This window comes from Homo sapiens, chromosome 2 (genome assembly GCF_000001405.40).
Source record: "Homo sapiens chromosome 2, GRCh38.p14 Primary Assembly".
Lineage (NCBI taxonomy): Eukaryota > Metazoa > Chordata > Mammalia > Primates > Hominidae > Homo > Homo sapiens.
The window spans coordinates 162,045,386-162,071,074 of record NC_000002.12 but is presented as its reverse complement, the minus strand read 5'-3'; the positions used below and the strand labels follow the sequence as shown (position 1 = coordinate 162,071,074).

At 40.3% G+C, this 25,689-nt stretch overlaps 1 protein-coding gene across 8 annotated transcripts in view, besides 2 other annotated features; it reads left to right on the top strand.

Annotated features, from left to right (window-relative positions):
- The window catches only part of DPP4 (dipeptidyl peptidase 4), an 81,971-nt gene that overhangs the window by 3,141 nt on the left and 53,141 nt on the right, over positions 1 to 25,689 (top strand). For 4 of the 8 annotated variants that reach the window (NR_166825.1, NR_166824.1, NM_001379606.1 and 1 more), the window contains exons 3-5: positions 23,574 to 23,672; positions 24,069 to 24,160; positions 25,463 to 25,543. Coding sequence is in view for 4 of the 8 variants with exons in the window: in NM_001379606.1 (NP_001366535.1) it covers positions 23,574 to 23,672; positions 24,069 to 24,160; positions 25,463 to 25,543 (272 nt within the window). In the remaining 4 variants the exon portion in view is untranslated. Of the gene's footprint in view, positions 1 to 23,573; positions 23,673 to 24,068; positions 24,161 to 24,269; positions 24,374 to 25,462; positions 25,544 to 25,689 lie in introns of all 8 variants that reach the window. The other 4 variants (NR_166822.1, NM_001379605.1, NM_001379604.1 and 1 more) reach the window with 2 other exon arrangements.
- Positions 4,962 to 5,256: a silencer, noted in NCBI's record as "tiled region #3711; HepG2 Repressive DNase matched - State 14:Gen5'". NCBI's record gives its function as "represses a minimal TATA promoter and a strong SV40 promoter by Sharpr-MPRA in HepG2 cells {active_cell/tissue: HepG2}" and the evidence as "EXISTENCE:reporter gene assay evidence [ECO:0000049][PMID:27701403]".
- Positions 6,918 to 6,987: an enhancer, noted in NCBI's record as "active region_16715". NCBI's record gives its function as "activates an Ori minimal core promoter by ATAC-STARR-seq in GM12878 lymphoblastoid cells {active_cell/tissue: GM12878}" and the evidence as "EXISTENCE:reporter gene assay evidence [ECO:0000049][PMID:35858748]".

Here is a 25,689-nt window from a genome sequence, read left to right as displayed (position 1 = left end):
TGGAGGGGGAAGTGAGGGAAATGGCCCAGGACACTTACAGTACAGGTCAGAATTTGGAGGCTCCAGAGCTACTCAGAAATGTGAATGACTGGACTTCGGTAACCGGTTAAACAGAGAGAGGTAAAGGAGAGGGTGGCTAAGGATACCTCTTGGACAACCAGGTGGAGATGTTGTTTCATGGTGGCTTTATTTATTTACCACTCTAGTAATTTCTTGTCTGTATTTCTTAACTTGTATGTATGTATGTTTAAGGAAAAAAGGGAAGTCATCTTGTTAACACTTCTGCCTTATCATAGGAATAAAGATAAAAGCTCAGGAATGCAGCATTTTCACTAAATCAGCAATACCTTTCCTGGGCTGTGCCATAATAAAGGTCAGCATTCCTTACAAAAAAGTCAAAGTCATCACCCAAGAAATGCCCTCCATGTTGTCAATCAAGCTTTCAAGTAAACAAATAGAGTGAAGGAAAAAGGAAGGAAGTAGGGAGAAAGGAAATGTAAAGGGAAGGGGAAGGGAAAGGAAAGGAAGAAGGAAGGAAGGAAAGGAATTTGATAGAAAAACAAAGCAAAGACCTAAATTACGTGGAAACTAAAGAATTAAACAGCCAAAAGGAAGGAGGAAGCCATGAGCAAACCCAAGTTCATCCCCTGAGAGGTTGATTTAAGAGGTCAAGCATTTCCATGTGAAATGCTTACTTTAGCAAAACTAGACACACCCAGAACAGGACGGGGGCTAGTGAATGGGGAGCCAGAGAGAGAGAGAGAGAGGCTTAATACTATTGTCATATATTTAAGAATAAAAACTCCTTGAAGTCATATTATTCATTTCACCAAGCACAATCAAAAGTTCACCCTCTTCTGTGTATATAATAAATGATTGTATGTTTTAAATTTTTTTTCAATCATCCTACTATAGGAGGATATTGCATATGTAAGCATTCAGTTTCCCCAAGAATCAGTGAGAAATACGTAAAAATACTTGTATGGAATTGTAGAACTCTTCATGGCTTAGTGGTAATAAAATTCACATGCAGCATTTATGATTCCTTTATTTTTTCTTTTACACTATATTATATGCTGAAATTTGAAATATTTGGTTATTTGTCAAATAGTTTTATTATTATTGAATTTTATTATGGAAAAGAAGTATATCTCTTCTTTTGCTCCTTTCACTGCTTTAGTGGTAAATTTCTTCTATACCTTCTTTCGGTGGAAAGGAAATTTGACTGCTCACCCATCCATCAGTAATAAGAGAAAACCCAAATGTGAAGGAGACAGGAATAATCAGAGAGAAAAGATAGCATCTATGAGGTTTGCCTGAGGAAGTCCAGGATCTGTTCCAGGTTTAAAGCACAGAAATGCGCCTGAATGAAAGCTTTGTATGTTTCAGGGGACAATTTCTAAACAGTATGCTCTGTAAAAGCTGGAGTTGACTCCAGCTTGCTCAGTTAACTATTGTCAACCTTTGTGGAATGCTCATGAGGTCAGCAGGTTAGTCTTTTTCAGGCCAGTTATTTTGGGTTTTGCTTCCCTAGCCATAGCATATGCCTTAAGTTTCTCTATCTTAGAAATCTCTGCCTCTCTTCTCAAAGGGGATCACAAAGAGAGAGAAAATGAAGACTACTCAGTTGATGGTCAGAGAAAGACAATATAAAAAGACTGGAGCTGGATCGTGTCTTTCAAATTTTATGACTTAAGAAATTACTGAGGCCCATGGAGAATGTGGCTGTAAATAACATGCAGGAGCGCCTTGCTTGAGGAAGAGAAGGCATGCAAGCTACAATAATAGCCAATATGCATTTACTAAGTGCTAAATTTGGGGCTGAGGGCTTTCAATGTATTTTTCATTTAATCCTTAGAACAACTCTTTGAAAGAGAGGTACTATTACCCTCTCCATTCCTACAGAAGATTTATAGAAACTTTGAGAGGGTACTTTAGTTATCTGTAATTGCATAATGAATTACCTCAGAACTTAAAACAATAAATATTTATTATCTCATAGTTTCTGTGTATAAGGAATTTTGGAGTGGCTTAGCTGGGTGGTTCTGCCTCAGGGTCTCTCATGAGGTTGCAATCAAGATGTTATCTGAAAGCCTGACTGGGGCTGAAGGATCCCCTTCCAAGCTCACTCATGTGCCTGTTAGCTAGAGGCCTCAGTTCCCTAGTGTGTGGGCCCCAGTTCCCCACCATGTGGGAATTATATTATAATTTCATGACTTCTAATCTCTGTGTCGTAAGCATTCTGAAGAAGAGCCTACTGTGGATGCCTTCATTCCTATATAAAGCTGTATACAGGCAATGACTGACATCTCAAGCTTTTGAATGGTTCTGTTTAGTAGTATTAGTAGTAATAATAGGTCCAGATTTACTTACTTGCACTAAATTATACTTAGGATAATATGGTAGCTACTTTCCCTTAGAATGAAGGATCCAAGAGAGGAACTAAGCAGGAAGCTGAGTTGCCTTTTATGACCTAGCCTCAGAAGTGGCAGGTATACCATTCCTTCTGCTGTGTACTATTGGTCACACAGACCAACCCTGATACAATGTGGGAGGGCACTACACAAGTGTGTAAATACCAGGAGGTGGAGATCATTGGGAACCATGATGGAGGCTGGCTCCAATGACTATCAAAGAAGTTAAGGAACTTGCTCAAAGTTCCACAAAGTTGGGATTCATACTCAGGCAATGTGACTCTACAGCTGATACTCAGTACTGTTCAACTCCATATCATTCTGTCAGCTTGTAATCAAGTATAAAATCAACTTGGCCATATTAGCATAATTGTTATAACTTCTCATTTGCATAGCGATATTATAATTTCATGGCTTCTAATCTCTATGTGTTAAGTATCCTGAGGAAGAGCCTACTGCTGCTGCCTTCATTCTCATATAAAGCTGTATATAGGCAATGACTGACATCTCAAGCTTTTGAATGGTTTCGATTTTTAGTATTAGTAGTAATAATAGATTCAGATTTACCTACTGGCACTAAATTACACTTGCTTTGCTTCTGATGTAAGTTACATTATTTCATTTGATCTTCACAGAGAAGTTCATTTTAGAGAGATATATTAATATCTTGACTTTTTACACGTGAAAGTTTAGGGGTTTGCAAGTAAGTACTGGATCTTGGGAATCCAAATCTTTTGACTACCAACCTTCCCTGAGCCTGCTGGTTCCCATGAATGGCTAATTTATAGAAATGCCTTGGTGAGAGTTTTTCTGAGTTAATGTTTAATCATTACTTTATGGTTGGATGCTAATCCTTTCATTGCTGTAAATCAATATCTTGTAAATATTTTTAACTTTAGTCTTCACAGCTCCATTATGACCTCCAAAAGAGGGTGTGTCTCTCAATTTGAGAGTAACCTGAAACCATGAAATTAGAACTAACTGTTTTATTATTTGCCAAGCATTGTATTGTTTTATATTGTTCTTCAAAATTATAACTTCCTAGGAAGCTTTTACAAATTTAAAGATAAACTATGTGCTTTCTTTAACTGGGGGCATTAATGTGCACATTTCTTAATTATTTGGTTCAGTGAGGAAGAAAGTAGACCTATGAGTTCAGGGTCCTAGAAGAGGAGGTAATGTAAGGCAGAGCCAAAGCCACTAGAGATTTTATTCATGGCACTCTAGGAGCCATGGTGGCTCAGGATGTATAACTGAGGTAGAGGGAGTAGGAGAGGTGAGTATCAAGCAGGTCTTATCATCCACCCCTTCCCTGACTTCTTAAAACTGGGGACCCCAAAACTGAGCTTAGTGGCCTCTGTGGCCTAATACCATTTCTGTGAGGCTGGAACCCTCTTTTCTTGTTTTCCTCAGTTGTTCTAAAGCCCACCCTGCTCAAACTCATGTCCATAAGTTTCATGGATGACTCTTATTTCTCTATTATATTCTTCCATTATTTGATTCCAGGCATAAAACTCTTTCAGTATGAGATTTAAAACCTCTTCAGGGCCAAGGTCCAACAGTGGCTAAATACAATATTTTTCAATTCAAAAACATATATTGAATGCTTACTGCATGTCAAGTGTTATTGAAGGTATGGGGGATATGGCCTGCTATGATTGCGTATTTGTCCCCTCCAAACCTCATGTTGAAATTTGATCTCCAGTGTTGGAGGTGAGGCCTAATGGAAGGTATCTGCATAATGGGATCAGAGCCCTCCCACAGGGGTGAGTGAGTTCTTGCTCTATTCGTTTCCGTAACAGCTGATTATTAAAAAGAGCCTAGCACCTCCCTCTTTCTTGCTTTCTTTCTCACCATGTGATCTCTGCACATGCCAGCCTCCCCTTCACCTTCTGCTATAAGTAGAAGCAGCCTGAGACCATCATCAGATGTAAATGCCCAATATTGAACTTTCCAGTCACCAGAATCATGATCCAAATAATCTTTTAAAAAGATAAATTACTAGCCTCAGATATTCCTTTATAGCAATACAAAATGAGCTAAGATCTAGCCCTAAGCAGTATAGATAATGTCCCTGTTCCACTGGACCTTTACAGTTCATAGAGCAGGCAAATTATAGGCAAGTGCAGAAATAATTTCAGATGGTAATAAATGCTATGACAGAAATCAAGTGGGATAGAGAGGACCGGCAGACACAGAAAGGAGTTTCTCTCTTATTCCAAGTATGATTTTGAGCTCCTGGAGGATTTCAGCATGAATGTGACATGATCTTTTCACATTTCAAAAATATGCCTCTGACTCTTGTGTGGATAGTAGTTTGGGGTTGGTGTGGTTTGTCCAGGTGATCAATGATGGTGGCTTGGAGAAGGATGGTAGCACTGGAGGTGAAAATAAGTTTAAAAAAAAAAAAGAAACGCAGGATGTATTTTGGAGGTAAGACAATGTGCAGGCATGTGAAGAGTGAGGGAAGGAGAGAAGGTAAGGATGGCTCCTTGGACAGCTGGCTAGATAGCTTAAGTAAAGAATTTCTCTTGCCTCCTGGCTGTTTCCTTTTTATCAGAGCTTGTCTGCAGAGGTTCCTCTGGCTTAACTCCCCTTTCCTATTGGATCAGCCTTCCCCTTTCAAGGATGTGCTCAGGAACACCTCCTACTTCATATTCACCCAGCACAGATTTGTTGACAGAAGGTAATTCTCCAACTTGGCAAATATTTATTGAGGATTTTCTATATGCCAGGTACTTTGTGGGTCCCTAGGGATAGAAAGACAATAGATATGGCCTTTGTCCTCAAATAATTGACAGCATTAAAAGACACATAAACATTAACTACAATCAAAAGAGCTAAGTGCCCTTCTAGTAAATGATCAAAGTGCTATGGAAGCACTAGTGACCAAATGATAAATGCTGCCCCAGGAAGTTTCTACATAAACAACCAAGCATAAAGCATTAATAATTAATGGGTCTTAATATTATCCTTCCAATCCTTCAGCCCCCAAACTGGCTCTGAGGCATGCAGTGCACCTCCGTGTCCATCCTCACTGACTTACAGCCCCCTGATGCTGTATGAGGATTGTATCAGGATGTTTTGGGCTTCAAGGAACCCAATACCTGGCCAAAAGTTATTTGAATGATAGCGTTTTATTACTGTATTGTCATTAGCATCTTTTATAATTGGAAGTGCAGAAGTAAAGTGGTTCTTGGGTTTGTTAATGTAATGGCCTGAACACATCAAGAACATGGGGCCTTTCCACCTTTCAGCTCTGCCATCCTTGGAGTTTTGTCTTTTGATCTCCAGTATGTCATCTCATGGTTGAGCATGGCTTCTGCAGCTCAACCCAGCACTTGCTCATACAGCTCATTCACAGGGCAGAAGAGGATGCTCTTCCTCATTCATGTTCTGCTGTATCAGGGAGGAAAACCATTTCCATAAGTCCTCTGACCAGATGCAAACTTTCAGATCTTACTGGCGACATTTGTGTCACTTGTCCATATCCAAACCAATCACCGGCAAGGAGAATGAATTGCCGTGATTGAACCAGACTACTCAAGACTCACCTTTCTCAGGTTGGAAAGTATCTTCTTTTGCTAGCACATGGAAGGAGAAGGGCAAATACCTAAGTTGAATTGAAAATTCTGAAAGACAGAAATCGGGGAGACGGCCTATGTAGGCATATCGTGTATTTGGTTATTGCTCTCTTTTCATTACGTTAGAAAGATTTAATTTTTCAACAAAAGAGGACAGACATCAAGCCAGCTCTGATCTCCAAAAATCTGGAGCTGTAATTCTCTCCTTTCCTTCTCCTCACTTTCTTTCCTAACTGGGTTTATTGCAAATCAGTGTGCTTTGTTGCTGCCTTTCTGATCTCAAGGACATTTTGACCTCAGCCCTTTCTTTCTTTTGGCATCCAAAGTGATCAAGAGGAGAAAATAATTGAATTGCAATGTTAAAATATAAATCTGAGATAATAGAGCAGGTAAGAAACATCTGAGGGGAATTACTGACAATTTACCTCTAGAAAATCCACATAAACTGTCACATTTCATCCAGTTCATAATAGCAGAAAGTGGTAGAAATAGTCAACATAAAATAAGATGGGCAAAATTTTTAAAAAATGGTAAAACTTAGATCTGCTAAAGTTAACCCAGGAAAGTAGGACTTAAAATAATTAATGGCCATAAAAATAAAATAGTAAATAACAAAAGCAAACAAAATAACCTCACAAGGTCCAGAAGCTATAATTTAATCTAACATGGGCAAAAAAAATCTAATTGATGACTCAAATCTTTGTTTTAAAATTTCCAGCGAAAAAATTACTCTGCATGGTAATGATTTTCTTAAAATGAAAAGGGTTTGGCTGTACTGAAAGGAGAACCCAGAACCCAGCAGCCAGTGGACCCTTATTCCTTCCTGGCAATCTGGCCCTATTTTCCCTGTCTGCTCACTCGCTTGCTTTTCTGGTGAACTATTCCAGGTATCTCCTCTCCACTCAAACTTCCAACACCTCCTCCATATGCTCATTCATAGCTAAGGACCTGGCTTCCTGTTTTGATAAGAAAACTGAAACCATTAGAAGAGAACTTCAATTCTCACCGGCTCATCAGTGCATTCACCTGTATCGGCTCCCCTCCCAAGTTAGAGGAATGAATGCTCAGGCTCCTACCCAAGACCAGGCCCTTTGTTTGTGCCCTGGGTCCCATCCCTTTTGCCTACTGAAAGATTAGGCTCCAGCTGTCCCCTTGCATGTGGCAACATCATTTTTTCCATCTCTATTTGATCATGAACATACAGTAGTGTCTCATATTCTTAAAAAATAAGAAGGAAACTGTCTTTTTCCACCCTCATCCCTGCCAACCTACCACTCCCTTTCTCTGCTCTCTTTACCACAAAACTTCTTAAAGAGTTTCTATTATCACTGTCTGTTACCCCTCTCCCTTTTTTTCTCTTAAGCCTCCTGGAATAAGGGTTATCCCCACCACACCACTAAAACAGCTGTATTCTTGTCAAGGTCCCTAATCTCTGTGTTGCAGATTGGGAGTTGCTTCTCACTCTGTGTCTCGTGTGCCTGTCAATTAGTCATCCTTCTTCTCCACCTCCCCTCGGGGCTCTCACTCTCTCCTGGTTGTCCTTCTACCTCACTGTGCAGTCTTTCCCAGCCTCCTTAGGTATTCTTCCTGATGTCTTCAACTTCTCACCTTGGACTACTCTGGGGCTCCATCCTAAGACCTTTTCCTTTTTCACCTTAGATGACCTCATCCACTCCCATGGCCTCAAATACCATTTACAACTTGGCAACTTTCCAATTTTACCTGCAAACCAGACCTTTTCCTGAGCTCTAGGTGCAGTATACAACTGCTTACTGGACATCTCCATTTGGATGTGATATTGGCATCTCATACTGACATCTTCCAAAACTCTTTGTCTTCCCTTAGTACATCTTATTTCAGCAAATGGCAATTCTATTTTTGTAGTTACTGAGGCCAATATCCATGCAAGTTCTCCTCAACTCCTCTCTTTCATCCACAAGTCACATCCAATGTGTCGGCAGTTTTATCATCTGTATCTTCATATTCTCTCAGAGTTTGACCCTACCTCACCACCTCATCTCCTACTACCCTGGTCAAAGACACAATTGCCCTTCCCCTAAATTATTGCCAACATCTCTCTTTTTTTTTTTCTTACTTCCCTATGGTGTATTCTCAACACAACAGACAAGGTGATTGTGGTAGGCAGAATGCTAAGGTGACCCCCAAGAACCCTCTCCTCCGCTCCTGTGTACTAATCTCTGAGATTGTGGATATGATGAATTTTCTTCCTGTAGTTAAGTTTCGTTATGATGCACAGTTGGCTTTAAGAAAGGGAGATTACCTGCTTGGGCCTGACTGAATCACATGAACTGTTTAAAAGCAGAGTTTCTCTGGCTAGTCACAGAACAGGCAGTCAGGAATCCCAGGCATGAGAAGGATTTAACATGCCATTGCTGACTTGGAAGATGGAGGGGCCATATGGCCAGGAATGTGGGTCATCTCTAGGAGGTGAGAGCAGCCCTGGCTTATAGTCAACAAGTAAATGAGAACTTCACTCTCACAACCTCAATGAACTGAATTTTGCCAACAACCTGTGTGAGCCTGGGAGCAGGTAATTTTTCCCCAGAGCCTCCAGCTGACAACTCATTCCAGCCAAAACTTTGATTTTAACCTCACAATACTTTGAACAGAGAACTCAGCAAAATGGGCTGGACTGCTGACTTTTAGAACTCTAAGCTGATACATGTGTGCTGTGTTAAGTCACTAAGTTTGTGGTGATTTGTTACATAGCAATAGAAAACCATTAATAATATAGTGATAAAATTGTTTTAATTTATTATTTATTTATTTATTTTGAGATGGAGTCTTGCTCTGTCGCTCAGGCTGGAGTGCAGCGATGCAGTCTCAGCTCACTGCAACCACTGCCTCCCAGTTTCAAGCGATTCTCCCGCCTCAGCCTCCCAGATAGCTGGCACTATAGGTGTGCACCACCACGCCCAGCTAATTTTTTTTTTTTTTTTTTGTATTTTTAGTAGAGACAGGGTTTTGCCATGTTGGCCAGGCTGGTCTCATACTCCTGACCTCAGGTGATTTGCCTGTCTTGGCCTCCCAAAGTGCTGGGATTATAGGTGTAAGCCACCATGCCCAGGCTGGCGACCACATTTAAACATAAGTCAAATCATGTCCTTTTCTGCTTAACATCGTTCATTGGCTTTCCATTGTGAAGGCTCCATGGCACTTGTTACCACCTAGCATATGGCATTGCTTACTCATTATCTGTTCCTATGTCTCCCCCAGTTAAAATATAAGCTTCATAAGGGCAGGAGTTTTTCATGCTTTATTCACTGTGATGTCTCTAGTGCCTAGAACACTGAATAACACAGTAAGTGCTAAGTAAATATTTGGTGAATTAAAGAAATTATCTTGGAGCTCAGGCAAGAAAATTTTTTTAATGAACATTTATTAATATTGCTGTAATTCTGAATAAAATTATTATATTTATAAACCACTCAGTACTAAATCATGTATACCTACAATTTGTAAGTGCTAGCAACTGTTTGAAAAAAGATAGAATACGTTTATCCTCATGGCTTATTAATAGTTTGGTTAAGAAAAGACTGTTAAAGTAAGTACTTAAATAGATATAAAATTACTTGATTAATTGGCAAAATATGTGGTACAGAAAATAAACATTTTAATAAGATGAGGAGAGAGAAATGAATGTGGACTAAGTAGTAAGGGATAGATCAAGAGACATGAAGAGGAATAGTGGGAAAATGAAGGCCATGAATGTAGACTGTTTATTTGAGAAGTTTGTCCAGATGGCTTGGGGATGCAGCAGGATCAGGTAAGTATTTCTTTAAGATCAGTACACACTCTGCATCCTTAACCACAGAGCAGAAGTGAGCAGTGGAAAGAAACTGAAGATGCAGCTGGGCACAGTGGCTCACACATGTAATCCTAGCTCTTTGGGATGCTGAGGCAGGAGGATCGCTTGAGCCCAGGAGTTCGTTCAAGGCTTTAGTGAGCCATGATAGTGCCATTGCACTCTAGCCTGGGTGACAGAGTGAGACCCTGTTTCAAGTAAAAAAGAGAAAGAGGAAGGAAGGAAGGAAGGAAGGAAGGAAGGAGGGAGGGAGGGAGGGAGGGAGGGAGGGAAGGAAGGAAGCTAAGAAAGAAGGAGGCTAGGAAGGAAGGAAGCTAGGAACGAAGGAAGCTAGGGAGGGAGGGAGGGAGGAGGAAGGAAGGAAAGAAAGAGGGAAGGAAGGAAGGAAGGAGCTTTGTGTTTTAGAGGGAAAAGGTAAGATTTTAAAAAAATCCCTTGGGAACAAGAGGACAAGCATCTGAGTCATAGATTGGGGTGTGGAATGATCGGGGAGGAAGCTCACCTCTCCCTCAGAGTTCTAAGGAAAGAGTTGAACAATGGCAGGAGGGACAGATACCACAGAACTGATGAGCTTGGTAGAAAATAAGCTCCTATGGTAGCTTTTGCTGTAAAGGAGGAATCATTGAATTTTTTTGTTGGCTAATTTTATAATTTTTTCAAAATGTATACTGCAGGACCTGAGTTGTTCAGCATTGTATAATATTTAAAATCTAGAGAACATGAAAAAAGGGAAGAAAACAAACCTATTTTAAAGCTTACGTGACTACTTTTTAATGAGTTCAGGAAAAAGATGATGAAAGTTATTGGGTATTCCCATGGAAAAGAGAATAGAGATGGTAAAACTTCCTTTCTAGGAAGTTACCTTCTAGGAAGCCACAGAGTTGCCATCCTTCTTACTGTCCAGAGGGAAAATTCTAGAGTTTTCTGAATTTGCACTCTTTTGACTTTGAAGCAGAACAAATTAAGTTTCAACTGACCCAAGTCCTAAGGATACTACCAACCTGCTTATTTAAAATAGTTGCAAACCATGAATTTAAACACTTCCATAAAGCCTAATTCATCTCCACCAATTCACAAAAAAATGCCAAGAAAGCATTTACCACATGCAATCACTGTTCCAAAGATTTAGAGAGGTTTAGAAGAGTGATTGTAACCACAGGCTTTGGCGCCATATTGCCTGGTCCAAATGTGGCTTTGGTGCATACTAATCACAGAATTTTAGTCTAGTTACTGGCTGTGCCTATCTGTGCCTCAGTCTCCTTATTTGTAAAATGGGAATGAGCATAAGAAGAATAAGTGGGTTGAAAGTCTACATTGCCTAGAACAACCCAGCAAACTAGAAGAACACCATAAGAATGCGTAATTATTATTCTTTATATGTTTATAACATTTTTTGTTTGTTTGTTTTAACAGCTCCAGACGCAGGTAGTATAGTAATTTTTGCCCCATACTGCTGAATGTTTTGCCTGGCAAATACTGGGAATGGGGCAATTCCTGTGGCAGTTTTGTTTTCCAATAATTGTTTTTTCTTATATCGGGGATGACAAATGCTTGTCACAAAGAGTAGCCTTGTTGATTACACTTATAAATCTTCGGGAGACTTCTTCAATGAGTCAGTGTTAGAGCTTTCAGTTTCCATAAATGCAGATTTCCTTTACTCAGTTTTCTTTTAAACATGAGCTGATCTTTCTTAGTTTGCACTATAATACCCTCCACTGAAGTCTCACTGCAACTGCTTTTAAGTATATGTGAAGAGAAACTAGCCCTTTGCTAAAATAGTTGCATGTTTCACGGGCCAGTGAGTCATTTAGTCATACACTTAAGAACTTTCCACCTTTCAAGTGTTTATCATCACCTCGGATTTCACGGCCTAATGCCAGTCAATTTCATGGGGCATAGAAGCCCTGTACGTATTAGTTTGGGCCATTATTGTATCAGTCTTGTTTATTCCCAGAAAAGTCTTATCAAGAAAAGAGGGAGTGACTATAATCAGAAAAAAAAAAATTCATTTCAGAAAGGGATAAAGCAGTCCTGCCACCTTGCTTAGTGCTGGCTCCCTGTGTGTGTAGAGCTTCCTGACTCTGCATGATAGCAGAGGGAACCAGGCAGTGTAACTCGGCTTAGTTCGGTCAGTCCTTCCAGCCTTGCATTTCTTTACCAACATGTTCATATTTGGGTTAAGATGAAAATAGATATCTGATACTTGAATACTGAGACATACATATTCTGCCCACTTTTACTTTTCTGCTACATATATTGGAGTCGTATGCTGATATTGTTTCAGGGTAATTGGAGTTTCAGTCTCAACATTTGTCTTTCAAGTCCAGTCTTGTGAGCAGTTTTTGTTTTTGCTTTAATGGTGCTCACAATTTTGAGGAATGTCCAGATGAGATTGTCAAACTGTAGTCAGGACTGGCCACCTGATGTTTTAAAAGGAAAGTTTTATGGGAACACAGCTGTGCCCATTCACTCACAGATTGGCTGTAGCTGCCTGCAAGTTACAATGGCAGACTTGAGTAGTTATAACAGAAACTAAAGACCATAAGGCCCACAAAGCCTAAACTATTGACCAACCAGCTATTTAAGAAAATGTTTGCCAACTCCAGGTCTAGATGTTGTATTCTTACCACTTAAAAATACTTTCGTTATAATGTCTAACTTGAATAACGAGATTCAGAAAAACGATTAAATATAGAGTTTATTCAAGTGCAAAGCTTGAGGATGACCTCTTGGAAAACATACTCCAGACAAATGGGGTTAGCATTACCAAGTGAGGAATTGAAAGTTTCACTCATATAGGCAGTTAACAGGGTTGCAACATTTTCCATACAAGGTCAGTATGTATATTACAGTGATTTTGTTGGTTACAGATTGCTATATTCCAACTAAGATTTCTTTAACATTCCATGAGCAGGGGTGATGATCTGAGGGGTTCCTACCTCGGGCACCACAGGGTCTTTTCTGGTCATTTACAGGAAAAAGCAGAAGTTACAGCTGCATGGTATGTGACTCAGGCCACATACCTCTCAAGGCTCAAAATAACCTAAAGTTCCAACAGATTTAAGTTCTAATTATTTAATTTCATCACAATAGGTAAGATGAATCAGTTCTTATATCAGTTAGGGAAATCACACTAGAGGCCAGGCGTGGTGGCTCCAGTTAGGGAAATCATACTAGAGGCCAGGCATGGTGGCTCAGGCCTGTAATCCCAGCACTTTGGGAGGCCGGGACAGGCAGATCATCTGAGGCCAGGAGTTCAAGACCAGCCTGGCCAACATGGTGAAACCCCGTCCCTACTAAAAATACAAAAATTAGCTGGGTGTGGTGGCACATGCCTGTAGTTGCAGTTACTTGGGAGGATGAGACAGAAAAATCGCTTGAACCTGGAAGGCAGTGGTTGCAGTGAGCCAAGATTGTGCCACTGCACTCCAGCCTGGGTGACAGAGTAAGACTCTGTCTCAAAAAAAAGAAATCACACTAGATATTTCAGCAGAGAGATTTAATATGAAAATTGGTTACACAGATAAAAGAGCAAAAGAGAAACTCTGAGGTAACTGAGAAAGTGTAACTGCAGGAAGGAGGAACACAGAAGATCTCAGATCAAAGCTCTAAGGTTTATAATCCCCCTAGCTGCTACTGGTACCTCCGTGAGGCATGATGAAGCAGGTTCTGGATATTACAAAGGAAGCTAGAGGCTGGAGCAGGTGCTACTGCTGGGTGCATGCTGTCAGCAAGAAGGAGGAAAGGAGGAGTCCCTCCTCTTCTCTAATTGCCATCCAATTTTTTCTCTATTTTCTCCTATTAACAGAACCTAGCAAGAATCCTGCAGATGAGGCTTCTTGGAAATATAGCTGTAGAGCCCTTCCCCAGAATTACTGAGCAAGGAAGGGTATGTATATTTGGAGGTGAAAGCCAGTAGGTGACTGGCTCAGGCTTACGGAAGTGTGCTGACCTAACAGTAGCTAGTGGTGGTCTAGAACCTGAGTTGTAATAGTCTGACAGGTTCTTCTTGCCCACTGCACAGATAAAACCAATTCACTGTGACAGTGATATTGCAATAGAGAATTTCATAGTCACAGGAACAGCCAAGTGAAAGGACAGGAGACAGTTCTCAAATTGACTCCCTCAAAGCTTGGAGGTTAGGGTTTTTAAGGATGATTTGGCAGGCAGGGACCTAGGGAATGGGTGCTGTTGATTGGTTGGGGATGAAATCATAGGACTGTCCAAAATGGTCTTTATGCACTGAGTCATTTTATGGGTGACGGTCACAGGACTGGTTGATTTAGTTCCTTGGTATGAGTCACAGGTCCAGGTGGAGTCAGCAGGTCCAACTGAATGCAAAAGTCTGAAAAATATCTCAAAGACCAGTCTTAGGTCTTGACAACTTGACAATAGTGATGTTATCTATAAGAACAATTGGAGAAGTTACAAATCTTCTGACCTCTGGAATAATGGCTGGTTATCATTTAACTACTAGCCTACATCTTGGCAGAATTCAGGCCCCTCCTATAGTCCTCACTGTGTGGCTTTTTCTTCGTCTTAGAAAGGCAATCTCAGTCCTCAGAGTGGGTCAGTTTTGGGAGGGACTATTACCATCCTTGCTGCAAAGTTAAACTATAAACTAAATTCCTTCCATAGTTTGCTTGGCCTGCACCCAGTAATGAGCAAAGGTAATTAGTTTGTGAGGTTAGAGGCAAGATGGAGTCAGTTAGTTTAGATTTCTCTCACTGTCATAATTTTTGCAAAGGCCGTTTCAGAGGCTCCTGTGCTCACTCTGTCTAGTCCTATCTGGCTAAGCTCACTCCTCTTCCTACACTACAGCCACTTGGAGTTCACATATTGTACTTGGAGCTGTTGGTGCTTATTTTCAGATTGTCTGACTTTTATGTTTTCATTCAACAACTATTTATTGAGTGTCTACTGTATACCAGGCACTGTTCTAGGCTGTAGTAATATAATAGTAAACAGAATGAAACAAAATAAAATCAGTGCCCTCACGGAGCTTACATCCAATTAAGGGAGGCACACAGTGAACAATATAAAAAAGTAAAATGTATAATCAGTTAGATGGTATCATTGCTAAGGGAAAAATGAGTAATGCTGGAAAGAGTAGTAGAGAATTCCATGGGGAAGAAGGCTGCAGTGCTAGTCCAGGGAAGGAATGCAGCATTTAAATAAACACCTGAAGGAGGTGAGGAAGGAAGCACTGGCCATATCTGGGGGAAGAACATTCCAGGAAGAGCATATAGCAAGTGCAAAGTCTCTGAGGCAGGCATGAGCCTGGTGTGTCTGGCCACTGGGTGGCCAGTGTGGATGGAGTGGAAAGGCAAAAGAGGAGGAGAAGGAGGCATAGGAGGAGGGGGAACTAAACCCCATTAAGATGTTTTATTTTTTTCGAAGTGTTGCTATTCTAGGAAATGTGCATTATACTATTTCAGGTGGACACATTGGAAAATGATTATGTCCCTAACCAAAGTTTGGTCACCTGGCAGTCCCAACATTCTACAGCCTCCAGCTAGATGGCAATGCATTTATCATATGCCCCTGGATGTACCACAGTGTTCTTTTTTTTTTTTTTTGAGACAGAGTTTCACTTTGTTGCCCAGGCTGGAGTGCAGTGGCACAGTCTCGGCTCACTGCAACCTCTCATGACTCAGCTTCCTGCGTAGCTGGGTTTACAGGTACACCATGCCAGGATGACTTTTTTTTGTATTTTAGTAGAGATGGGGTTTCACCATGTTGCCCAGGCTGGTCTCGAACTCCTGAGCTCAAGCAATCCACCCATCTCGGCCTCCCAAAGTGCTAGGATTACAGGCATGAGTCACTGCACCCAGCTGTACCACAGTGTTCTATTGTTGACAAGGTAAATCTGCTATTGTGATTATATGCTAATGTCCCTTATGTATAGTAATCAGAGAAACATCAGTCTTCAGACATTCTCTAATTCCATTAGGTCCAATATTTTCCCTTCATACTGAAAACTGCTGACTTCCAATATGGAGGCTATGGATGGTGTTAGGCATGTATTAATAGAAGGGAGAAAGTGATATTCACTGGCACTTAGGAAATGATTAGATTGCACTTATCCTAAATATTTTTCTCAATGTAATTGTTTCATGCTTTTTTATTAGGATCATTTTTCATTATGAACGTAGTGAAACTTAACTGGCTGTTATTTTATTGCAGTTAAATTCTTAATCTCACCGTTAGGTGCTTCAGAGGAAAGACTCTTTTATATTCTTTTTTGTATTCTGGTTGCCTAACATATGCTTGGAACAAAACAATAATGTGCAGTGTAACATATCTACAGGTGCTTCTTAAGTTCTAAGTCCTGAGCTAAGCATATGACATACATTATCTTGTTTAATCATTGAAAATCCCCATGGGCTATTAGTCTCATGTTATAGATTTTTAAAATGAAACTTTAAAAGGTGTGTTAGTTTGTGCTGCTGTAACAAAATACCACAGACTAGGTAATTTATAAGCAACAGAAACTTATTTTCTCACAATTCTGGAGATGGGAGGTTTAATATCAAGGCATTGGCATTTAGGGTCTGGTGAGGGCCTTCTTGCTGCATTCTCACACGGCAGAAGAGTAGAAAGACAAAAAGGCTTAGACTAGTTCCCTCCAGCCCTTTTATAAGGCACCTAACCATTCATGAGTGGGGAGCCCTCATGACTTAATCACTTCAAATGGTTCCACCTCTTAATATCACAACAAAGATTTAGTTTCAAGACATTAATTTTGGGGGACACTCAGACCATAGCATTCACCCTTGAATCCCAAACTTCATGTGCTTTTCGTACGCAAAATGCATTCATTCCATCCTAATAGCCCCCCAAATCTTAACTTTTTCTAGCATCAACTCAGAAGGCTAGAGGCCAGAGTCTCATCTAAATTAGTTTTTACCTAAATTAGGTGAAACCCAAGGTAAGTTTCACCCTGAGGCAAATTGCTCTCCAGCTGTGACTCTGTGAAATCAAATAAGTTGTGTGCTTCCAAAATACAATGGTGGGGTAGGCCTAGGATAGATATTTCCATTCCAAATGGGAGAAATAGCAAGAAACGGTTAATAAGTGCCAAATAAATCTAAAGCCCAACAGGGTAAACAACATTACATCTTGAGGTTTAAAAATAATCTTTGACTCCATGTCCCATGTTTCAGACATGCTAGGGTGGGGGTTGGGTTCCCAAGGCCTCAGAGGACCACCCCCACCCCCCCAGTAAGGCTTTGCTGGGCACGGCCCATGGTGCAGCTCTCATGGGTTGAAGTCTTGTGCCTGTGACTCTCCCGGCTGACATTGCATGCTGGTGACTCTACAGTTGTGGGGCCTCAAGGGTAGCCTTGCCCCGCAGTTCCATTAAGCATTGCCCTAGCTGGGACTCTGCAGTAGCTTCTGTGGCAGTTCTCTTCATGGGCCGCTAGCCTTTCTGAGGAATCTTTTGAAATCTAGGTGGAGGTAGCCATGTCCCCATGCTTGTGCACTCTATGCTTCTGCAGAATTAGCACCACATGAGTGCTGCCAAGGTTTATAGCTTATACATGCTAGAGTGGCAGCTGAGCCTGCTTGAGTCATATATGTGGCAGCTGAAGAGTGCTGCACCAGAATGCTGACAGCAGAGACAAGGAGGTGCAGGGGAGTCAATGATGAGGTCCCATGGGTGCCCAAGGCTCCTTTTTTGACATAGTCCTTTCCCCTAGGCCAAGCTTGTCCAACCTGTGGCCTACGGACGGCATGTGGCTGGACGGCTTTGAATGCAGCCCAACACAAATTTGTAAACTTTCTTAAAACATTATGAGTTATTTTTGTTTTTTTTTTTTAAAGTTATTCAGCTATCGTTGGTGTATTTTATGTGTGGCCCAAGACAATTCTTCTCACGTGGCCCAGGGAAACCAAAACATTGGACACCCCTGGCCTAGGCCGTGGCACTCTGGGCCTGTGATGGGAGGGACAGCAGCAATAATCTCCAAAATGCCTTCAGGGTTGTTGTTCCATTGTCTTGATGAATAGCATCTGGCTTCCTATTCTCCATACTAATCTCCTTATTAAACTTAAACATTGCTTGGCCACACCCTGGGTTTTCTCTCTGAACTTGCCTTTTAGTCTTTACAACCTGGGGAGGATCAGGCCAGGCTGAGACTTTTCCAAATCTTCCCTTATGATTATGAACTCTGTCTATAATTTGTTTTTCTCTTCTCACATTTTCCTATAGGATGTCAGGAGAAACCATTCAGCAACCTGAATACATTTTTTTCTTCTGCCGGATATCCTTGTTTATCCTCTAATTCTGCCTTCCAGAAGGGCACAGACACAATTCAGCCGAGTGCCACTTTCTGGTATGAAAGGCCATTTCTCTAGTTCCAATGAGATCTTTATTTCTATCTGAGATCTCATCAAAAGGGTCCTTTACTGCCATATTTCTACCAGCATTCTGATCACAATCACTTAGATAATTTCTGAGAAGACCGAGGTTCTATCCACAGCTCTCTTCTTCTTCTGAGCCCTCGCCAGAATTGTGTTTAACACTCTGTGGATGTAATCTAGGCTTTTTCTAGCCTGCACTTCAAAACTATTCCAGCATCACCCATTACCCAGTTCCAAGCCACTTCCACATTTTTAGGTATCTGTAACAGCAACACTCCATTTCTCTGGTACCAATTTCTTTCTAGGTCCATTTGTCTTGTTATAACAAAATACCTAAGAATGGGTAACCTTTAAAGAACAGAAATGTATTTCTCACAGTTCTGGAGGCTGAGAAGTGCCAGATTAAAATGCAGGCAGGTCAGTGTCTGGTGAGGCCCCACCCCATCGAAGGCATTGTCTCTCCAGGCAGCATCCCCACATGGTGAAAGGTAGAGGGTCACAAAGGCAGCAGCGAGTTCCCTCCAGCGCCCCTGTCCTCCACTTTTTTTTTTTTTTTTTTTTTTTTGAGATGGAGTTTCGCTCTTGTTGCCCAGGCTGGAGTGCAATGGTGTGATCGCAGCTCACCAAAACCTCTGCCTCCTGGGTTCAAGCAATTTTCCTGCCTCAGCCTCCTGAGTAGCTGGGATTGCAGACATGTGCCACCACGCCCGGCTAATTTTCTATTGTTAGCAGAGACAGGGTTTCTCCATGTTGGTCAGTCTGGTCTCGAACTCCCAACCTCAGGTTATCTGCCCACCTCGACCTCCCAAGTGCTAGGATTACGGGTGTGAGCTGCTGCACCTGGCCTCCCTCCAGCCCTTTTATGAAGCACTAACCACTTCCCAAAAAGGCCCCACCTCTTAACACTACCACAATGTATATTAAGGTTCAACATGAGTTTTGGATGGGACACCATCTTTCAAATCATAGCAAAGATTCAGTAATTTTCCCAAGGCCCCAAGGCAAGAAATGGACCTGGTTTCAAATCCAGGCTCTCTGATTCAAAGCAACCAGCTGCTCAATCCCTTGAGTGGTGTTTGTTGAATCTATGGAGATGGGTGGCAGCCTGCATGTGCTGCTGGAGAATATAGCCACAGGATGAAGGGACATTCAGTCAGTTTCTTCTTTTACCTCCTTGATTTTTCCTCCACCACCCCTGTGTCAAGGCTGTTAATTTGCTAAAGCAAATTTTGGAGTAACACTCGTTTTATTTCTTTATACCCATCATAGATACAAGCATCAATATGGAATGTTAGCTGATTACCATATGGAACACAGGAACTTTATAACCAGATAACTCTTTTGCCTGTTTTTAACAACTTTCCACAGTTATGTGCCGTAACGAGCACATTTCTTTTGAGATGTATTTCATTAGCCATTTATTTACCAAAACAGTTTATTTTTGTGGAGTGGAAACATTATATGTCAATTTAGTACAGACAAAAAAGTTTAGTATGAATGAGTGACAATATTCAAAATATCTTGTAATCATACAGAAGCAATTGATCAAAGCAAGGATATCCCGTGGAACTATACTACTCTCTTATTTGGATTTTATCATTCTGGAATTATTGTTTTTCAGAAATGATTTTGACACTACAGCAAGGATTCATTAAGATACCTTAACACTTTGATAAGAATTTATTATTAGATTGAGCCATTTTAAATGCCACTATTCTACCTTTTTTAACTAATAAAAATGGTATTTTCATGCGGTTCAAGCTAATAGTTGCTTTAGCTAAAGAAGAAAAGTATAAAATTATAAATCTATATTTTTATTTTTAAATTAAAGATTTGAAACTCAAGTTTCTGTATAAGCTGATGGGTAACATATGATTAAGTGCTTTACTTGGCTGCACAATGCTTTGAACTGATAAGTCAAATGAACATGTCCCAGGCCGAACTAAGAAAACCATGCAAGCAGCCAAAGACCTTCATCTGCTGCCGCAGCAGTGCCCTGTCAGTGAGCAAGTAGACAAGGAAGACGAATCATGAGCATGTCTCATAAGAGTTTGACAAAATAGGTTGTAACTTGGCAGCCAACTATGAACTTGCTAAAGGTCAAAACCTGGAGTTGGCACTCTTGTCTCACAGAACTCGCTTATCTAGATGTTTCAAAACCGTCTTCCAATGTGCCCTGCTTATCAAATGGCAAGGCTAAAAACAAGGAACATTTGTGTTGCTCTGCTTGCTCCAATTTAGCCGCTCTTCTCTTGGACTGGCAGCTAATATGTGGAAACTGGGTTGCAGGGTTATTCTAACGCAGCCGAGTGAACCTCACACAGACCAGGGTAAGCCTGGGCCTTGCAGGGATGTCCTGGGCTCTAGCAAGTGTGGCATCAGAGTTGATATCTGGGAAATGAGCTTATGGATCCAATTCACAGGGAGCCATCATGAGCAGAAGGGAGCCTGAATGTGGTAGAGATGATGGGTTTTCAAAAACTGTGGACTAGGCCTGGTGCAGCGGCTCACAGATGTGAGGATTGTGGATGTCAATAACCATCTATATTTCAAATTACATCTATTTCAAATAACCATCTATATTTCAAATTACACTAATTTAGGGTGTGTTTTAAGTACTTTTTAAACTAATACCTCTTGATAACAGAGTATAACTCCTTAATAGTATTTTTCAAATAGTACTCACTTTTTAACTATTTGATGCATGAAAGAGTGGTTGGATGAATACAAGCAATTGAGAGCATTTTGTGAACAAATCCAGTTACTATTCTCAATATGAGTTTCAAATATTTTCTGTAGCATAAGGCTTTACTCCTTGTTTGAAGGTTGGCAAATTCAAGGACTGATTTTACCCGCTTGCTATATTTCTACTAGCAAACACAAATCTCCTACTAACTTTTAGGGATGAAATGCAGGAGTAAATTGACCAAAAAAAAATACTTTAGTTTTTTTAAAGCTCTCTTTAACTTATTAAATGAACAAGGTTTAAATAAAATCAATAAAGTAATAAAGTGAAATGTGGCATTTTTATTTCTTGAAACAAAGTTGTTTTAGGCAGGTACAAGGCTATTATCAGATAAGATCTGAAGAAATAAAATCTTTTATTAACCTACAACTTGAACCTGTATTTTCTTTATTATCTTTACTTATAATGATGAAAGCAGAAAGCTTTATCATTTTTAACTGAGGGAATGGCCCACCTCAGAAGTCTTCTTATCTGTTTTTTTTCTTTCAACTTTTATTTTAAGTTCCAGGGTACATGTGCAGGATGTACAGGTTTGTTATATAGGTAAACATGTGCCATGGTGGTTTGCAACACAGATCAACCCATCGCCTTGGTATTAAGCCCAGAGTCTGTTAGCTATTCTTCCTGATGCTCTCTCTCTGCCCACCCCCAACCCCACCCCCAACAGGCCTCAGTGTTGGTTGTTCCTCGCCATATGTCCATGTGTTCTCATTGTTCACCTCCTACTTATAAGTGAGAATATGTGGCATTTGGTTTTCTGTTCCTGCATTACTTTGCTGAGGATAATGGCTTCCAGCTTCATTCATGTCCCTGCAAAGGACATGATCTTGTTCCTTTTCATGGCTGCATAGTATTCCGTGGTGTATGTGTACCACATTTGAAGAAATAAAATCTTAAGAACATTGTTTGAAAGAGCATTTTCTGTAAGAAAATTACAAGGAAGGCATTTCCTGCAAGAAAATTAACAAGGGACAGGGCTACTGGCTTCCCAGTCCCCCAAATTGTAAGAACTGCAGTTATAGGAATTTTATAACGGTGGCTGATTTTGTGAGTGTATGTTTGTGTGTATGTGGAAAAAGTAGAGGATTTGAGAAAAAATACTTTAAGCTCTTTTATCAGTGGACATACTCTGGGATTGGAGAAGAGGAATCACGTTGGCTTGATTATGCTTCTAGGATGATATCCTACATTAACCAATAAAAACTCTTTGAGTGTGTGCCTACTGTGGAATTGAACTGTGTTAGGTGCTAAAGGTTGACGTAAAAATTAAAACGAACAAACAGCAAAGCCTTGTCTTCAAAGACTACATGGCCTAACTGAGGACACCACATGGGTAGGCAGAGCAAAAGAGTTGTCAACTATTTTGTCATTAAATGACAAGAGCGAAATGAGTAGTGTTGGGGCAAAAGTCAGAGGGGGCAGAACTAGTCTTCATGAAAGAGATGGGAATTTGAGGGTAGTGATTATGACAACCAGGAAAGCAGGGAAGACACTGCAGAGAAGTGGTTTAGAAAAAGGAGCAGAGGTGGAAAAGCCCAAGATCTTCTGGGTTCAGTGGGCTGGTCATAAGAGTGAATGAGAGGGTCCCTGCAAGGAGAGAGTGACATAAGACAGTCTTGTGTCGGTCGTGGAGGGCTGTGAGTTTCAGGCTAAGGAGTGTTAATCTTGTTCCTGTAGGCAATGGGGAAATATTGAAAACTTTTGGCGAAGGGATCACCAGAATGAAAGTAGTGGTTTAGAAAAATTATTCTAGTGGTGGTGCAGAGGAGGGAGAGAATTGGGAGAATCTAATGTCAGGGATACCCAGAAAAAAAATTTCCAGGAATAATCAAGAGGGTCAATTAGATGGGCATGGTGGAAAAACAGACAGAAGTATCAAAAATGATTTTCAGACTTTGAATTTGGGTCACCAGTGGTAGAATATAGAAACACACAAATTCTGTTAATTTCAAAGAAAAGTGATGATATTAATGAAGCTCCCTGAATTGGGTGATCAGCATGTCCTAAGGGTCTCTGAGAAGCAGGAGGGCCTGAAACTGGGCCCCAAAGCCTCTGAAAAGGATGATCTAGCTCCAGGCCATCCACTACAGTAGTCGTTGAACACCTGGCCACACATAACTATTGACTTAAAATGTACCTAGTCAAATTGAGATATGCTGTAAGTATAAACTACATATCAGATTTGAGAGTTAGAATGAAAAAAAGAACATGAAAGTTCTCATAAAATTTAAATATTGGTTACATGGCAAAATGATATTTTGGATGTATTGGGCTAAATAAAATGTGCTACTAAAATTATTTTTACCTTAAAATTTTGTTTCTTATATAGCTTCTAGAAAATATACTCACATTCTATTTCTATAGGACATAGCTGATCTAGACCTTCAAAGTAAAGCCCACTAATATAGCATAATACAGCAGAGTGAAACACACACACTCTCACACACTTCATAGTTAAATGCATGTTTACTCCATCCATTCAGTCTGAAGTCTTTTAAAATGTGTCTTGCATTTTGTGAGTATATTTCTGAATTTTTTGAGCAGGGTATATTGTAGAGATCCATTTGTTTATTTTATCCAAAACTTAGGTTATTCCATCTTACTGAAATGAACATTTGGCTCTTTCTTTCAACCAGCAGATGATGCTACAGCTGACAGTCGCAAAACTTACACTCTAACTGATTACTTAAAAAATACTTATAGACTGAAGTTATACTCCTTAAGATGGATTTCAGGTAAGAATTTTTTGGGGTAGGGCAGATTTTATGCTTACATTCATTCTAGTTAAGTCGAGATGTGGGCTTTTATGGCACTGAGAAGAGGTAATCCTTGTTTTTAAAAATTCTATAGAGAGTTTTTTTTTTCTTTTTCTACTTGAAGTGCAAAGGGAGAAAGACTGAAAGGAACCCAAGTATTTCTTTGACATGTATAATAAAAAATTAAATGTGAATTGAAACCTTGACAATAATGATGAAAAAATGAATGAATGTTAGTATAATATCATTCATGTTTTCTCAACTTAGAAATGCCTATTTGGTATTTGTGAGCTTAAACTGTATTCTGTAATTTTCAGCTTATGAAGATGTTTAATAACAACTTGAAATTTTGATCTGGGTGTTTTCTCTCTTTAGATCATGAATATCTCTACAAACAAGAAAATAATATCTTGGTATTCAATGCTGAATATGGAAACAGCTCAGTTTTCTTGGAGAACAGTACATTTGTATGTTTAATCACGTAATTAATTCATGCATAGAATTCTGGGGATTTTTTTCATTACCTTTGGAATCACGAGTACTGTCATTTCTCAACCTGTTGGACTCTTTCTGCAGCATATGGCAAAGTGGATCTTTCTCTCCTTCTTGAAATGCTCCCTGCCTTGGCTACTTTTTAGTCTCCTTTGACGATTCCTCTTCCTCTGCCCATATTTTTAAATGTAAGTGCTCCTTGGGGCTCCATCTTCATTTGCCTCCCTCTTCACTTTGCATGCTCTCCTTTGGTGAATTTCATGCAACCCCACAGCATTACTGCCCTCCTCTCTGGCTTGACTCTCGTATACACACACTTAACGCTAACCTTCTCCCAGATTTAAACTTTAATTTCTAGTAGCCTGCTGGTTCCTACATGAGGATTTCAAACTCAAAATCCCAAGCTAAACTGGTTATCTTTCCCCCACTGTCCTAGCACACTGAAAGCATCTTATTCTTTTTTGTGAGTTCCCAGTATTGGTAAAAGTTACTTAATTCTCCTCCAAGTCACTTATGCTAGAAACCTCAGAATCATCATTGACTCCTGTCATCCCCCATAGTTGGCGACAATTCTCCCTCTGCATGTCAGGTATCTCTCAGTTTCCATTTCCACTGGACAGTCCTCGCTTAAACCCTCATTTAATCTTGTGGTAATGAGTGCTCTAACTTGTGTCCCTATCTGCATTCTGTACACCAGACCACTGCACTCCCCATATCTAGGCTGATATCAGCCCTCCGCTCTTCCCTCTCATTTCAGCCACTGTGTCACCAGAGTATCTTTGTAAAAGATAGATATGATTCTATCACTTCCACATGCAAAAAAATAGATCTAGTTCCACATCTTATATTTAGGTCCCAGCTATTTTTCTAATTTGTTGTCCTCTCACCTTCCACTCTGTCTGACACCAGCGCCCCCCACAAACTATATTCAGGTTACACATGACCCTTAAAGAGTCTCTAAACATCCACGTCCTTTCCCATGCCTGGCATTTTGCTTACGCTATTCCCACTGTTGAGAAAGTTTTCTTTTCCTCATCCTCACTCTCGCAGGCATCTTTCCTCTTAGGATTAATCCTTCCCTTTCTGGCTTTCTAACATTGATCGCCACCTACCTTGCATCACGGTCATTTGTGTGGGTGAATATGCCACCTCTGCTAGATTAGGACTTCCCAAAGCACAAGCCACATGTCTAGAACAGTACCCCCTATGAAGTAAGTGCACAGTGATGGCAATGAAATGGAATTGTTCAATTTTTCTTTGTTCTTCTTGTTTGACAGGATGAGTTTGGACATTCTATCAATGATTATTCAATATCTCCTGATGGGCAGTTTATTCTCTTAGAATACAACTACGTGAAGGTAAAATAAATGCTTTCTTACTGTAACATTTAAATAATCCAAGAGTATGCTATGTTATAACCGATTTCAAGTGTATGGATACTTAAGATTAATATCTAAGTAATGTAATAGGCACTAAAACTCATTAATTCAGAATCAGAGTCATT